We start from the raw sequence: 17527 nt of genomic DNA, 5'->3' as shown, positions 1-17527 counted from the left end.
GGTTTCACCGTGTTAGCCAGGATGGTCTCGATCTCCTGACCTCGTGATCCGCCCGCCTCGGCCTCCCAAAGTGCTGGGATTACAGGCGTGAGCCACCGCGCCCGGCCCTATTTTGCTTATTAAGTTACTTTCTTTCATCTAGAGAATACCCAAGTTCAGGACCTAGTCAATATTTGTTTAATTATCAAGTATATGTGGATATTTATATAGATCTGACATTATTTTAGGCACTTTATACATGATCCTTGTACATTTCTAATTGAGGTAGATCTTAGTATATACCCATTTTATACAGGCAGAAAGTGAAGCATAGAGAGTTGAAGATGATTCTGTCAGTTTGCTTAGTGATAGCACTGGAATTTGAACCCAGGAGTCTGGTTCCAGTGACCATGCTCCTAACCTCAATGTTCTACCATCCCTCCGTCACGTGTAACATCCTTTCCTGGGTTAAATGATCTAGACTTTTCAGAATCCACTTGCCATGATAGAAATATGACTACCTTAAAGCTGATAAGAATCTACCACTTCCAAGCTTCCTCAGCCAAATTTAAAAGGCTCCCTATCAAAGGCCAAGGTAAACTCAGAATGAGTCTAGCTAGACTAAGCATGTCCCCTCCTGTCCTGTGACCTTTATTTTCCTGCCCCCACTCATAGTCCCATAGAAGCCCCACCAGCAGGAGAGGCTTCCTCCCTCAGATACCTCCTTAGGGACAATGGGCGTACTGGAAAAATGAAATCATCAGTGGCCACAGAAGAGAAATTGTGTAATTCTTTATTTAGGAACTTGCCATTAACTTAAGCTAGCATTTAGAGATGCAAACTCCACAGTCTTGGACAAATCCTTCACTTGAAACTTTCCAACCCGCCTCTCATCTCCAGATGTTCTCACCACAGGAAAGACGAGTTTCTATCTATCAAAGGACAGCAGGCTTAGAAGACAGGTCTTGTCTCTTGGGTGGGACTGGAATCCTCAGCTAAAGGTTTCCCTTAGGAAAAGTATGTGAGTTCCAGCCAGGTTTCCCCTTCCAGGACTGGGCAGTCCAGGAGCAACGCCTTGTAGGACACAGGCTGAAAAGGGGAACCATCCTCTGAAGAACTTAAATTTGTGTAAGATTAACAAACCCTTGACAATTCAAGGTCACAGAGCAAGATGCCTTGGGAAGATGACTCATGATTAGATGGATGAGGCTACTGATATGGCTATGTCTTCTCCCTAGAGTTATAACCGATGTTTCCTATTGCTCATAATTGGTCTGCTATTCATCACTTTCACAATTGCTCTCAGCTTAGTGACAGGCAGGACAAATGATTTGGAGATAGTTTAGAACAATGTAAGCACAATCTATTGCCCCGATGACTGAGCAGGTCTACTAAGATCACATAGATCACACACCCAAACAGCTCCCAGTCTTCTTTCCTCAGACTTTATTATTCATTCATACAACAGGCGTTCATACAACAAACTTTTATGGAGTACCTACTTTGGGTCATGCCTTGTGCAAGGAATTTCTGATAAAATAAGGCAAATAACTCATAGTCCAGTAGGGAGGACAGACATATAGATAACAATTCCATAAAATGTGGTAAGTCCACTAACAGATATGTTGTCAAAGGTGCAGTAAGGGCTTTTGAATTCTGCTGGGAAATCAAGGAAGGGTTTTCAAAGAAGACTGAAGTTGCAGTGGGTCTTAAAGAATGAGTACAATTTGATTAAAGATAGAATAAAGGCATTATAGGCTGGGGGAACCCATGTACAAAGATACAGTGACATAAAAGTTTGTTGCCTCCCTGGTCCATGACAAAGGGTTCAATGTAGCTGGTATGTAGGACTGGGACAGGCTATGGCGGTGGGATATGAGGCTGAGAGGTTGTTTGACATCACTTTGTGAAAGGCTGTGTGTGCCAGGCTAAGAAAAATGGTTGTATTTTTCTTAGTCAAAATTATTTTTAGTTGTTTTATTGTTTTTCTTTTTAGAAATACAGAATAGAGATGAGGTCTCACTATATTGGCCAGGCTGGTCTCAAATTCCTGGCCTCAAGCAATCCTCTTAAAGTGCTGAGATTACAGGTCTTTTTTTTTTATTATTATTGATACATAATAGTTGTACATATTTTGGGGGTACTTGTGATCTTTCTTTCTTTCTTTCTTTCTTTCTTTCTTTCCTTCTTTCTTTCTTTCTTTCTTTCTTTCTTTCTTTCTTTCTTTCTTTTCTTTCTTTCTCTCTCTCTCCCTCTCTCTCTCTCTCTCTCTCTCTCTGTCTCTCTCTCTCTCTCTCTCTCTCTCTCTTCTTTTTCTTTTTCTTTTGACACAGTCTCACTCTATCACCAGTGTGGAGGGCAGTGGCACAATCTCAGCTCACTGCAACCTCCACCTCCTGGGTTCAAGCGACTCTCCTGCCTCAGCCTCCCGAGTAGCTGGCACTACAGGTGTGTGCCACAACGCCCAGCTAATTTTTGTGTTTTTAGTAGAGACGGGGTTTCACTATGTTGGCCAGGATGGTCTCCATCTCTTGACCTTGTGATCCGCCTGCCTCGGCATCCCAAAGTGTTGGGATTACAAGCGTGAGCCACCACGCCCGGCCTACATGTGATATTTTGATACATGCATGCAATGTATAATTATCAAATCAGGGTAACTCGGATATCCATCATCCAAAACATTTATCTTTTTTCCTTTTTTACATTGGGAACATTCTAATTCTTCTCTTCCAGCTATTTTGAATACAATACATTATTGTTAACTATAGTCATCCTACTGTACTATTGAACACCAGATCTTATTCATTCTAACTAACTGTATTTTTGTATCTGTTAACCAGCCTGTTTTCATCCCCCTCTCTCTCTCTTACCCTTCCTAGGCTCTGGTAACTACCAATCATCTCTCCACCTCCATGAGATCCACTTTTTCAGCTTCCACATATGAATGAGAACAAGTAGTATTTTTCTTTCTGTAGCTGGCTTATTTCATATAACATAATTACCTCCAGTTCTATTCCTGTGGCTGTAAATGACAGAATTTTATTCTTTTGATGGTTGAATAATGCTCCATTGTATATATACATCACATTTTCTTTATCCATGCATTTATTTATGGACACTTAGGTTGAGTCCATATCTTGGTTATTGTTAACAGTACTGCAATAAACAGGACACAGGCTGAAAGTGCAGATATCTCTTTAGCATACTGATTTTATTTCCTTTGTATATATGCCCAGTAGTGAGATTATTGGATTATATGGTAGTTTTATTTTTAATTTTTAGAGGAATTCTCATACTGTTTTCTATGATAGCTGTACTAATTTATATTCCCACCAACAGTGTGTAAGAGTTCCCCTCTCTGACCATTTATGTCAGCATTTGTTATTTTTTGTCTTTTTTGTAATAACTGTCCAAATTGGAGTGAGATGATATCTCATTGTGGTTTTGATTTGCATTTCCCTGATAATTAGTGATGTTAAGCATTTTTTTCATATACTTGGCCACTTTTATATCTTTTTTGAGGACTGTCTATTCAGCTCTCTTGCCCATTTTTAAATTGGATTATATGTTTTCTGTTTTGGGATTTTTTTGCTATTATATATTCTGGATATTAACCCTTTGTCAGAGCCATAATTTACAAGTATTTTCTCTCATTCTGTACTTTGTCTTTTCCCTCTATTGACTGTTTCCTTTGCAGTCAACAAAGGAAGATTTTTAATTTGATGTAATCCTATTTGTCTATTTTTGCTTTTATTGCCTGTGCTTTTGAGGTCTCATTCAAAAAAGTATTGCCCAGACCAACATGAATCTATTTTTTTTTATTAAGTCATTATTTGGTTGTCGCAAAGAAGGACTTGGGACTGACCAAGACAAGGTTAACTGGTCCCCCTCACTCCTCCTAAGAATTTGTCATGTGCTACCTGCCCTTAGTATTTAGGAAAAATGACCAGTTTGGAGAAGAGGATTCAGTCTTTAGGTTGAGACCTGTGTTTGAGTCCTAATTCCTAGATTTGTGACATTGATGAAATCACCTGATCACAGGAGCATCAAACTTTAAAAAATTTCAACTTTTTCAAGGGTTGCATGGAAACAATACAACCTAATATACAGGCTGTTTATGGAGATGAAAGTGACCCATGGAGGTTAAGCATTTAGGCTTTGGAATTTGAGAAACGTGGGTCTGAGTTTTGTTCTGCTATATACTGGCTATGTAACTTAGGAAAGGAACCCAAACTCTCTGGGGCCTCAGTCTCATCCTCTATATAGTGACACCAATAGGATTATCAAATTCATGGTGTTGCTCTACAAATTAAATGAATCCCTGCATGTCATTTCTCACTGAGCACTGTGTTTGGAATAGAAAAGTCTTCAAAAAATGCTCACTGTTATTTTTAATGCATTAAAACATAGTACTTCATCTTCTATGTGAGATAGATGGGAGCTGAAATATGGGACTAACTGACAAGAAAAATTACTCCTTGCCTGAGGATCATATAATCCTATCATCTTGTCTGTGTACATCTTGAGAAACAGACAGCTGACAGAGCCTTGTGCACAAGCATCTCAGTGGGTTGTATATTTATTTCTCTAATATTTTTTCATTAGCAGAGGTAAGTGTGGCAATAGGGGGGTTTGGCTGGTTCTAAATGTCTTCTTCCTGTCACCCAGATTAAGGAGCTGTTCTGTCGGGCTCTCATCATTCAGAGGAGAATGGCTTGAAAAGTGAAGCTTATCCTGACAGGGGAAATTAGGTGTCGTTTCTGTGATTTATAGAGCAATAGATTGAGCTGCACGATTTCTTATATAGGAATTGGGTCCTTGCCAGTTAGTATTTTTTTCACTGTATGGGGGGATCTGAGGCTGAAAATAAGAGATGGGTTGAAGAAGTTCAGGGGGCACTGCTTGGGATTTGAAGTTGAGTCCAAAATAGACCCTCTGCCCTACTGTGTTGTCTGGTTGGCCTTGATCCAGTATCTTCTCTGACCTTTCACTTGCTCATCTGTAAGAATTACTGGAAACAGGCCGGGCGCGGTGGCTCACGCCTGTAATCCCAGCACTTTGGGAGGCCAAGGCAGGTGGATCATGAGGTCAGAAGCTCAAGACCATCCTGGCTAACACAGTGAAACCCCATCTCTACCAAAAATGCAAAAAATTAGCCGGGCATGGTGGCAGGCGCCTGGAGTCCCAGCTACTCCAGAGGCTGAGGCAGGAGAATGGCGTGAACCCGGGAGGTGGAGTTTGCAGTGAGCTGAGATTGCGCCACTGCACTCCAGCCTGGGCAACAGAGCGAGACTCCGTCTCAAAAAAAAAAAAAAAAAAAAAAAGAGTTACTGGAAACAGTAAAAGCTGCTGCCTCCGCAAATTGTTGGGAGGATAATAGGAACTAACAGGGAGATGCCCTAGCACTAGGCACAGAATAAAGAAATGCTTAATAGGTGTCTGTTCTCTTCATCCCACTCCTCTCTTTCTTCAAAAACTGTTAATGGTATGCTCGTCATCTGTGTGACCTCTGCGGAGAGGATGCCAGCTGGCAGGAAGTCAAATAGACTTTCTCTAGAGTAGTTTTATGTTCTCAGCCAAAGTGAGCAGAGAATTCCCATATACCCTCTACCCCATATACACATAGCCTCCCCCACTATTAACATCTCCACCAGAGTGGTACATTTGCCACAATCAGTGAACCTGCATTGACACATCGTTAGTACCCAAAGTGCATAGTTTATAAGAGGGTTCCCTTTTGATGTTGTATTTTCTGTGGGTTTTTACAAATGTATAATTCCATGTATACACCAGTATCTTATCACACAGAGTATTTTCACTGCCCTGTAAGTCCTTTGTGCTCTGCTTATTCATCCTTCACTTCTCCCTAACCTCTGGAAACCACGGATCCTTTTACTGTCTCCATAGGTTAGCCTGCTGGCAGTCAATTCTAGTCAGTATATCTAGGATGGGAAGTTCTAAAGGGGATGGGGAAATTATGGCCAGTTTTGAGAAACAGCTAAATCTTAGCATAAGTGAGAAAGTGATCAGAAATAGCAATGCAGTGATTTGAATGTCCAACTTGAAGAAAGACCCAAGGAGGGGAAGAGACTTACTGAGGTCACACAGTAAATTAGAAAATGTTGGAGTTCCCTTGGATTCTCTTATCTTTGTCTCTTTACTCTTTTCATGCTCTGTACTTTTTCTGTGTGATTTTGTTCACACTTGTGGCTTCTATTACATTGAACTATATGATATTGCTGACATTTGACTTACAAAATTGCAATTTCATATGATATTTTCATTGGTCCATTCTCATTTGTACAGTGAAAAATCCCAATATCTGCTAAAGGTGGGTGGACTCAGGGGTGTGAATAACATTTTTAATAAATGGATTGTCTTTTATATGGAGGCTTTATATTTCAAAGCATAGATTTCCTGGTTTAAGCCAAATGTCCTGAATTCAAAGCCTGGCTCTACCACTTACCAGCTCTGTGACCTTGGAAACAAATGCAAATTGGATATAATAACTACACCTAGCTCACAGGTTGTTGGGAAAATTTAATGAGTTAATATGTCTAAAGTACCTAGGGTATTGTGAGGAGTAATACATAAAAAGAACCTAGAACAGTGCCTGGCTTGTAGTAAGTACTCAATAAATATCACGTAATTATTAATATTCTCTACTTCAGTGAGAACATTGCTTATGGTTGTAGTGGCTGACAGCATGGGCTTCAGGATTAGATGGCTTGAGTTCAAGTCCTGGTTCTACTACATTTTAGCGAGTGACCTTGAACAGGCTATTTTACCCTTCAGACCTCAGTTTCCTAATCTATAAAATGGGGCTAGGAACAGCAAAACTACTACATAAGGCTGACATGATTAAATGATATAATGTATATTAAAGTGCTTACCACCCTGTCAGTAAATGCTGTTGTTATGCTTGTTTTCTACTAAAATGACAGAAGTTGGTGGCTTGAACCCAGGACCAAATGCAGGCAACTTGGTGTAGTGAATGTTTCTCTTCTTTGGGCCTCCTAGTCTGTGCAGAGTTGTGAGGACCAGCTTCATGTCTCAGGACCCTTCTGGATCTGAAATGCCAAGAATCCGTGCCAATGAATATGCTTGTATGCACTTCAGAGCCCTCTAGCTTCTGGGATATATATGTAGTTTAAGGTTTCTACTTCCCATTGCTCGGCTACTCCCTAGTTGCTACCTTTTCCAGGCAATTTTTGACATGACTCATCTCACTTGCCTTCCTGTCTTGTTTGGGAATAAGAAGATTTAAGTCAACTAACACTACCTACTTTTCTCCCTTTATGTGTTTTTACACATGCTACTTAATTCTACATTCTTTGATTTGTAAAAGAATGACCAATTAATCACCTTCTCACTGTCAGGTTAGATGGGCATGTCTTGTTTCATTCCTAAGGAATGGGGCCTCCAGCCCCTGTGCCCTATCTCCTATGGCTACCAGGGAAATGGGTAATTGGAATCTTCTGCAGCAATTATGAGGAGATATGCTGATGACGGATGGCAGATGGCCCAGGTAGATCCTATCCAGAGTTCCAGGCTGGGTTAGAAACCTCTATTTCTGCTTTTTTTTGCAGCACTGCTATGATAACCTCTTCAATCCTTCCTGTGTTCATCAATTCCGTCCTGATCAACTACACATATTGTCAGCATGGGCGCACCATGCTTACAATATATGTTTCCCCATAAAGTTGGGATGTCAACCACTATCTCTTCACCTCCCATCTTTCTAGGCCTTAGAAGCTTCTTATTTTATATCTTCAAAAACTTCTGGACAAAAAAGGTATCAACCCCACTGTCCTCCAAGCTGTGATCACAATTGTCTCCAAAAGGGACTCTACCTCCATAGCCCACCCCAATTTCCTTTCAATGGCTTCAAGGTAATTTAGGCTTTTTATGGTGACCAAAAGAGATGCATTTCTGTCATCTCTTTTGTTAGAAGAACACAATAATATCAAGTACACAAGTTTAATCCTTGGCAGAACATCCTATTTTATATTTAAAACATATTTAAATATAAGTATGTTTATAACATATTTAAAACATATTTTTGGGGCCCTATTTGTTCACTATTTTTCTTGAAGGTAGGGACACAGAGATGAATCAAATTTATGACCTTGGCTGGGTGCAGTGGCTTATGCCTATAATCCCAGCACTTTGAGAGGCTGAGGCAGGCAGATCACTTGAGATCAGGATTTCGAGACCAGCCTAGTCAACATGATGAAACAGTGTCTCTACCAAAAAAAAAAAAAAAAAAAAAAAAAAAAAAACACAAAAACTAACCAGGCATGGTGGTACATGCCTGCAATCCCAGCTACTCAGGAGGCTGAGGCAGGAGAATCTCTTGAACCCAGGAGGCAGAGATTGCCGTGAGCCAATATTGTGCCACCGCACTCTAGCCTGGGCAACAAAGGGAGACTCTGTCTCAAAAAAACAAAAAACACAAATTTATGACCTTGCCATGGAGAAGTTCACAGTTTGATAGGCGAGGACACACAAATAAGCAAGTTTCAAGGAAATGTGAAATTTGTAAAAATTGAATGAGAGGAGAGAGGGACAAAATCTCTCAAGGTGTGGCAGGGTCCACACCTCCTTCCTAGAGTTCAGTAAGGAGGAAGAAGTGGAAAAAGGGCACTTCAGACCAAAGGCACAGCATGAGAAAAGGCTTGTGGGTATGAAATAGTGCATGCACTACTGTAAGAAGTTGGCATGTGCTAGATCACAGAGAGGGGTGCAGGGGGGTTGAGATGGGAGAAGAGTCATAAGCTGAAGAACAAAGGAGGTTGAATCAGTGGAGGCTTTAACCAGAAAGTGTGGAACATTCAAAAGGCTCCAAGCAAGAGGTGTTTTAGAAAGCTGTGAGAGGACATGCTGGAGAAGGCAACATGAGAGTGGGGAGACTAGTCCAAAGGCCACGGCAAGTGCCTATAGAATGGGCGGCACCAGGGAGACAGCAATGGGGCCAGAGTGGGGAGGGTTTCTTTATTTTTTCCAAGATGGAGTCTTGCTGTCGCCCAGGCTGGAGTGCAGTAGCGCAATCTCAGCTCACTGCAACCTCCACCTCCCGGGTTCAAGCTATTCTCCTTCCTCAGCCTCCCGAGTAACTGTGATTACAGGCACCCACCACCACACCTGACTAAGTTTTGTATTTTTAGTAGAGTAGAGATGGGGTTCCACCATGTTGGCCAGGCTGGTCTCGAACTCCTGACCTCGTGATCCACCCGCCTCGGCCTTCCAAAGTGCTGGGATTACAGGTGTGAGCCACTGTGCCCAGCTGGGAGGTTGGTTTTGAGATGCCTTATAAGGTAGAGGGTTGACCACCACTTTTTGGCTAGAAGCACCAAACTGACATGGGAGATACAAGTAATCCTGGGGAAGAAGAGGATCACAAACATGCACACACATTTTCTTTGCTTTTATCATTTATTTGGTTTGTTTTATTCAGCATTCCATGTGAACTTTTAATTCAACAAACATTGACTGCCTTATGTTAAATGCTAGATACTGTGTTTGGCCCTAAAATGGAGCCAGTGGGTAAAAAGATAATAGATTTTTTTTTTTTCTCTAGAAAGCCTTTTCCCGCTTCATTTGTTATGGGTTGAGCAGCCATATGACCAAGTTTGTTAATACCGTGGAGATGAAATCCATTAGGCATTAATAAGGACTTCAGAGCATCTTTTTGGAGTCATACAGACCAGAACCATCTTAGTATCAAAAATAACTGACTTGGTATTAGCACATGAAAATATTTTTTAGTGTAAAAATTACAGTCATTTGAAGTATAGAGTGTGGAATTTAATTCATGGGCTTAGTGACATTCTGTGTAGATGTTTCTAAATATCTTAAGTAGAGGGTGTTTACCTAAAGTTTAAAATTCCTAAGATATTGTCATAGTTTTAGAGCTAGAAGAGCCCCCTTCCTTCTGTATTCTCATAGCCTTCTATGTGTATTACTTCATAGCATTTGAACTATAGTAATTGTAATTGTTTGTGTGTGTCTCTTTGCTAATAAGCCACGGATCCTTTGAAGTTAGTGACTTGGTCTTGTTCATTCCCTTTCTTAGTTTCTGGAAGGCACAAGGTATGAAGTAGGAAGTTCAGTGAATGTGTACTGAACTTAAACCTTAGAAAACATATCTTCTACCCCCTCATTTGGAGATAGGGAAATTGAGGTTAAGAACGAGGAATCTTTTATGCAAGTTCAAAAAGGAAAGTAACAAGAGAGTCAGAAATACATCCTAGTTTTTTTTGATTGCTTAATATTTTTGTGGCTGTTTTCTCCTGTTGCCCAGCTTGGTTTGCTAGCTAATTAGCCAGAAGTTGGAAGCGTTTACAAGTCATGGAAATGCAAACCTTCGTTATGAAAACCAATGGCCATGCAAATGTAGCCATTAAGTACAGAATTTGTTTCTTAGGTCCCTCTACTTATTCAAAAACTAGGAGGCAATAATGCCTCCAGTATAAGGTTTCATTTTCTCTCAAACACACAGAGACACATACGCATGCAAACAACACATGCACACACATAAGCACATGACCCAAGCAGAGTGGCTGAACAGGATATTTTGGATCAAATCTTGGCATTTATTCTTCCTGTGTGACCTACTAAGGTCAAGGGTACAAGGATTCAAATGGGCTTTAGTTCAAGTCCCTCCCTGCTCCTGCACGCTTTTCTGTAAGTGGGTATTGAGCATCCATTTCAATGGGTAATTTTGAGCACTTAACGGAGGGATAGAGTAGTTTCATCGTGAAGTTGTTCTATCACCTTGGTCCAGCAAACTAGCATCTCTGGGTCACTGTATCTGCATCTGTGAAACGGATTAGGTTACATGATTTACAGAGTCCTGTGAAGCTGGAACATTCTATGATTTTCCTCCCCCGGGATCTAATTGGACTCTGGATGGAGTGTTGCAAGGACAGAAGAGGTAAGGAAAGAGTGATCCTGCATTGACACAGTGCTGGCTTCTGCAGCCTTATGAGGACTCCCTGTTTGATGCTGGCCTTTTATCAGGGTGTGTTTGTGTTCTAACCAGTGTTTGCCTGGCCATTGCACCAGTCCCCATTCTGTTCCTCGGGGTTTTGGGAAAGAGCCAGTGGATGTGGATTCTTACAGGCAGGATTTCTTCCCAAGAACTGCCTGGATGGTGAAACTTATGAAGTCCAGAGAGATTTCCTGTTTTGTTTTCCACAAGCTCAAGTTCCTATTTATTACAAAAACCAAACACACACACACACACACACACACACACACACACACACACACACACACACACACACAGAGTATGCTCTCTCTCTTCCCATTGCTGGGGTCCAGTGCAACCTTCCCATCTGTGTCACTTTCACCCATGGCCCTGGGTTTCACCGTTATGTTAATTAAGCCTTCAGTGTTGGCTGGAGATGTTACAGAATTTTAAGCCATCAGTAGTTAAGCACATTAATTTTACCAAGGGGGAACCTGCAAAGGGAGTGAGAAAAGGTCTAACAGTCAGCATGACCTCATGCAGTCGCATCTGGTTTCTGTCCTCATGAGAGTGCCTCCTTCTGGTGCTGGCTAGAGAATAGACATTTGTTCTTAGCATAGGTTCTGGCACCTAGGAGGAACAGTGCTCTTACTGTGTGACACACCCTGGCCCAGACACTTTATATGCAAATAGTTTATGAAATATACTTACACTACAAAAATGTTGCCTGGAATTTGAATTTAACTGAGCACCTTGTGTTTTAATTTACTGAATCTGGCAACCCTACTTGGGATTAATCCCATGGCTCAGAATTGTTGAACAGAAAAGACCTGCCCTTGGGAGTCACAGAAATCTGGGTTGGGATTCTGTTTCCACCATTTACTTGCTGTGTGATCTTGGGAAAATTGCTCGACTGCTCTGATTCCTAGTTTTCTTATATATAAATGAGGATCGTAATATCTGTGTCTCAGGACTATTGTGATGATTACATTTTAATGCACTTACAGTACCATGTGCTGTGCCATTTAGTGTTTTTCATGAACATTAGCTTTTATTATAATTATTTTTTATTTCTTTGGGTCATGACACTTAACTCAGGTGAAATTTGATCATTCATTCATTCATCCCTAGGAGAAGATATGGATAAGAACATGTGGCAGGAATAATTGGAGACTTTTTGTCAACTTCCAGGAGAAATGTGATGGAAGCTTACACAGGAACACTCTTGATAGACACTGTCTCCTTCTAGATCTGTGTTCTGGATCACTCAGAAGGGAGACCCCAGACTTTATACAAACATGTTCTACTTGAGTCTTTTAGACAATGCAGAATGAAAAAAGTGACATCTTGGTAATCATGTGCCCTTAGTGGTGTGCAACTTTTATTTAAAAGCATATCAAAAGTAAAAAACATGAAAGAAATGAAAAATAGGAACATCATGCAGAGCAGGCAAAGCACAAAGGAATAAAAGATCAACATTCTTTGAAATCCTCATGTTTTAAAGACAGCTGTCATTCATTCAGAATGTGCAGTGCGTTGAAATGTCAGTGTTAGCATCAAGCACACACTGAAGTTATCTTCTACATCAGAGCCCAAGGGAGGGGAACAAAATAGAAGGTAAAACTTGACTCCTGTGCTGTGCTAAACTGAAAAAAGTGCCTTCCAAGTTCTCTTTACTGCCAACTATTAATGATCTATTTTTCAATGTCCATTTATTTATTTACAAACTGTTGACTGAATAACTGTGCTAGGTCCCACAGGAATATTCATGTGAATAAGGCCTGGCCCTTGCCCTTGGTGGGACCAGTGTTTATGGGTGAGATAGGCAAGGAAATGTGTTGGTAGGTATGGTCTATGTGTTATGGTGTCCAGAAGAGGAGCATGATTCTAGACTTAAGAAAGTTAGGGTGGGCTTTCCAGAGAAGAGAATGTTTCCTATTTGAGACCCAAAGAGTAAATTGGAGTGCAGAGAGGGGAATATTCCAGGCATAGAATGGAATGTGTGTGTGTGTGTGTGTGTGTGCGTGCATGTGTGTGTGTGTGTGTGTGTATGTGTTTTAAAAAGACTATGAAGCACATTCCAATTAAATAGAACATTGATTATCATTTAGAGCAAAGGTCAGAAAACTGTGGCCCTCAGACCTAATCTAGCCTGCTACTTGACTTGGTAAATAAAGTTTTATAGGAACACAACCATGCCAATTCATGTAAAGTATCATCTATGCCACTTTCATGCTACAAAGGCAGTGTTAAGTAATTGTGGAAGAGTCTACCTTGTCCCAAAGCCAAAAATATTTACTCTCTGGCCCGTTATAGAAACTGTTTTCTGGCTCCTGATTTAGAGCACATTTTATATAAACAGGAATTCACTGTTGGTGGAAATGATGTGGGTGCATGAGAACAGATGATACTGTGCAAAGAAGGTCAGGAGAGTGGTGAGAGATGAAAAGGTGGCCAGGGGTGAGAACAAGGCATTTAGATTTTATCCTGAAGACTATGGGAAACCTTTGAAGGTTTTTAAGCTGGGCAATGAGATGGTCAGACTTCTATAAAAGGCAGTGCAGCAAGGTGTTTAATAAGAAGACAGGCTTTGGAGGCAGATTGCCTTGGGTTGTATCCTAGCTCTATCGCTATCGTAAACCTCAGTCAAGTTATTTACTTTCTGTGTGCTTCAGTTTTCCAACTTGTAAAATGGGAAATTATAATAATAATATCTATTGTGTGAGGTTGTTGTGAAGATTAAATAAGTTAACACAAGTGGAGTGCCAAGCCTAGGGGACACTATCAATGGATATAGTTACTATTGTTTCTCAGTGATCATTGTGGCTCCTGGGGAGGGGATGGCTCAGGATGGGAGACCCTGATAGTAGAGTGCAAGGAACTTAGGGAATAGATGGTGTCTTGTGCTTAAAGGGGCTACTCTAAAGCCCTCGATGGCTCACATCATGGCCATCAGCACATTTACTCTCAATCTCTCCCCTGTTGTCATCATTGTCTATTCTGTCCTCTTTTTTTGTCCAGGCCTTCAAGAGTGCACTGATGAGTTCCTACTGGTGCTCAGGGAAAGGGGATGTGATCGATGACTGGTGCAGGTGTGACCTCAGCGCCTTTGATGCCAATGGGCTCCCCAACTGCAGCCCCCTTCTGCAGCCGGTGTACGTATGTATGGCCCCTTTTCCTTTGGCCATCCCTTTTCGTGGACTCACACTCCTGTCCTGCCAGCCCATGCCATGACTTGCTTCTGCTCCCAAGGTGCCTAACAAGATCCTCAAAGACCCTGGAATCTACCTCCTTTTTTAGGAAAGAAGGGAGCTTTGGCAGAACAGAATTGTGGCACAGGAGCAGACACTGATATTGCAGTGCATGCTTGTTTTAAATGATGCCACTCAGTTCATCATTTCTTCCTTCAGGCAACCATTCAGCAAAAGCTTGTAGGCAGCTGACTACTTTGTCAGGTCTTGTGTTGGGCAATGGGGCTACTGAGATTTAAAACAAAACAGAACAAAAAAAAACTGGAGAACCTCTTCTACGAAACAAGATTGGCACAGTCCATGTACTCAGGGAACGGACAATTTAGTGGAGGAGATAGATGCCAAAACAAAAACAGGAAAATACAGTATAAAAGTTTAAATAAGGGCTGAGCACCATGGCTCATGCCTGTAATCCCTGCACTTTAGGAGGTGAGGTGGGAGGATCTCTTGAGGCCAGGAATTGAGACCAGCTTGGGCAACATAATGAGACCTCGTCTCTCCAAAAAAAAAAAAAAAAAAAAAAAATAGCCCGTGTGGTGGCACATGCCTGTAGTCCCAGCTACTATGGAGGCTGAGGTGGTAGGATCTCTTGAGCCCAGGAATTCAAGGCTGCAGTGATCCATGCTTTCACCACTGCACTACAGCCCTGGTGACAGAGTGAGACCCTGTCTCAACAACAACATTTTTTTAATAAGAAAAATGTGAAAAAGAAACAAAGAAGTGCTATTAGGGAGAATAATGGGGAGATGTTTTAGTTGGAAGGAAGAGGGAATAGTCTGGGAAAGCTCTCTGAAGAGACCTATAGGGTAGATGCCAGCCAGGCAACAAGTGGTGAGACTCATGTCTCAGGCAGAAGGAACAGCATATGCGAAGGGCCAGACACTGGAAATTCACCATCTGAGGAAGTAAAGGAAAGTCATTGTCGTTGCAAGCATGTGATTAAGAGGGAGAAGTGGTGTGACAAGCATAAGAGGGGGCAGGAACCAATACTGGAAAACAAAGTCCCATAATCGAACTCTGTGGGTGAGAAGAATCATGTTATAAGATGGTCTTTGAAGACACAGTGTGGTATCGTGGAAAAAGGGAATCTGGGATAAGGATAAGCAAAATCACCATCATGGTCCTGTCTTCAGCTTGTTGTGTGACCTTGTGCAAACTGTTTCCTTTTTTTGAGCCTTTCCCCCTTTTGTGAAATGAGGGAATTAAACTTCATCATCTCTAAGGACCATTCTAGTTCTAACCTTTAATCATTCTATTTTTTTTTCTTGCTTTGCAAAAAGATTTACTCCAGGATTTTTGCTCCTTCCAATAGTGTATTTACTTAAGGATATTAAAAAGTTAGCTAGTACATTGTATTAAAGAAAATGGCAGAAAAATGGAAAGTTCCTTTGTTTGAAGGCACTGCCAATTTAATTGAAAGTGAAGCATCGTTGAGAATATAGTATAAATATATGGAAAACTGATAAACTGCCATTGAGCACATATTGTGTGCATGGATTAATTTATGAAATTCTACTTTGATCTTGAAAGGTGGCTCCTTGTCTCCCTATTTTATGGATGAGAAACAGAGGCCATGAGAGGGGAAATAACTTGCCTACGGTCATGCAAGTTGGCGATCATGGGTGGAATCAAGATTTAAATTCAGACTGAAACCTATGCTTCATCTTGACACATGCGGATTCTTTTGGGCCCCAGCTGGTGCTGGCTGCCAAACACGAATCTTCCTTTTTATTCCCTGTAGGCTGCGGCTGTCCCCAACAGTGGAGCCCTCCAGTACTGTGGTCTCCTTGGAGTGGGTGGATGTTCAGCCAGCTATTGGGACCAAGGTCTCCGACTATATTCTGCAGCATAAGAAAGTGGATGAATACACAGACACTGACCTGTACACAGGTAGGTACATGAGTTCCCATTTTCTTGGGATAGTATGACAGAAGAGGGAAACTGGGATTTTCTACTGTCTTTGGAGACTTGGTCTCATCTGTCTTGGGAAGGCATTGGAAGATTTCATTGTTTAGTGATTTTTCGCTGTCCATCCTTGTGTGCTGTTTTGTATGAATTTGATCAAGGAAAGATAGCAAGTTGCAGTTAGAAAGAGTGTCTGATTCTCTGAGTTGGACCTTCAAAATATTATGTCAGAGAACTAGTTGATTCTGAAGACAATTTGACCTTTCTGTATCTGGGAAGGCCTGCAGGACTCATGCTTGAAGGGCTTGATCTGTAAATATATTATCTCTGGAACTGAGGTAAGGAAATTCACACAATTGGCTTTCTAGTGAGATACACTTGGAGTCTTCATTAACTAGTGCTGGGAGAGAGATAATTGGAAGTGATTCCAGCATGCAGGAGCATTTGAGAATGTTGGCTTTTAAGAGGGATACCTTTGATTATCACTCAGAACATTATTTCCGAGTTCTTCTAAATTTTGACACTGCCAAGAAGCAAAGCGTTCACCTGTGATCTGTACTGGGGCTTACATTTTCTGTTCTCTGTTGAGACTTCCATTCAGCAATTATTTTCCAGCTAGAAAACATCAATTAGACATCTGTTTTTTTGTGTGCCAGGCACGGAGCTAAATGTTTTGTTCAGCATCTTAATCCTCACAATTTTAGGAGAGTTAGTGATTATTGTGCCCATTTCACAGATTAGAACATTGAGATTAATCCAAGGTTATTCAGCTTGTGGTATCGCCTCAAATTTATAATTTTAATCCTGAACCAAGACTTGGCTATTTAAAGAATTAAAGAAGTATAATTATTTGCCCAATTAAATTATAAACTCCAAGAGGAAAGATGCCTTCTCTGTGTTAGTCATAGTTAAATTTCCAACACCTATCACAAAGTCTGGCATTCAAATATGAGTTGACTGAATGAATAATAAAAGAATGAAAGGACCTTTATTGTTCCCTTTTCTTTTTCTGTCTTCCTGTCTTCTACCTGTCTCTCTCCTACACCTCTCCCATTCCTCTCTGGGCTATTTTTGCTTTGCTTCCTCTGAAATTGGGAAGAAAGTGATAAAATGAGGCTGTGAATGTAAAAGAAGTCAGAAAAAGAAAAGCCCAGATTATGGACAACATGAGAAGTCAAGTTGGCTGCTAATAGGTTTCCTGGGATTAATGTGGCTTTTTCCACATTATTGACTGAAAGAGACAGAACAGACTGGAGTGGACATCACTTTCACAGAGGGACAGGTCATGGAACAGTAACTGGGCAGCTGATTTTGCCTCATCTTTCAAACTTTGTTAATTCTGACTTTTGACTCTGTATGGAGTGCATATGTGTTTGCGCAAGACTGTGTATCTGAATATGCATAGGCAAACTGAAGTGTC

At 41.0% G+C, this 17527-nt stretch overlaps 1 protein-coding gene and 1 long non-coding RNA gene across 9 annotated transcripts in view; one reads left to right on the top strand and one right to left on the bottom strand.

Moving 5' to 3' along the window:
• ASTN2 (astrotactin 2) overlaps positions 1-17527 on the top strand; it is a 991946-nt gene that overhangs the window by 780642 nt on the left and 193777 nt on the right. For all 8 annotated transcript variants that reach the window (NM_014010.5, NM_001365069.1, NM_001365068.1 and 5 more), the window contains 2 exons: positions 13973-14106; positions 15944-16092. In NM_014010.5, the coding sequence (NP_054729.3) occupies positions 13973-14106; positions 15944-16092 (283 nt within the window). The remainder of the gene's footprint in view (positions 1-13972; positions 14107-15943; positions 16093-17527) is intronic.
• LOC105376240 (uncharacterized) overlaps positions 1-17527 on the bottom strand; it is a 46451-nt gene that overhangs the window by 9882 nt on the left and 19042 nt on the right. The window contains exon 2 of the long non-coding RNA XR_930277.3: positions 6873-7049. This is a non-coding gene — a long non-coding RNA (uncharacterized LOC105376240). The remainder of the gene's footprint in view (positions 1-6872; positions 7050-17527) is intronic.

This window comes from Homo sapiens, chromosome 9, assembly GCF_000001405.40.
Source record: "Homo sapiens chromosome 9, GRCh38.p14 Primary Assembly".
Classification (NCBI taxonomy): domain Eukaryota; kingdom Metazoa; phylum Chordata; class Mammalia; order Primates; family Hominidae; genus Homo; species Homo sapiens.
The sequence above is the reverse complement of the archived record's forward strand: the minus strand, read 5'-3'. Positions and strand labels throughout refer to the sequence as shown.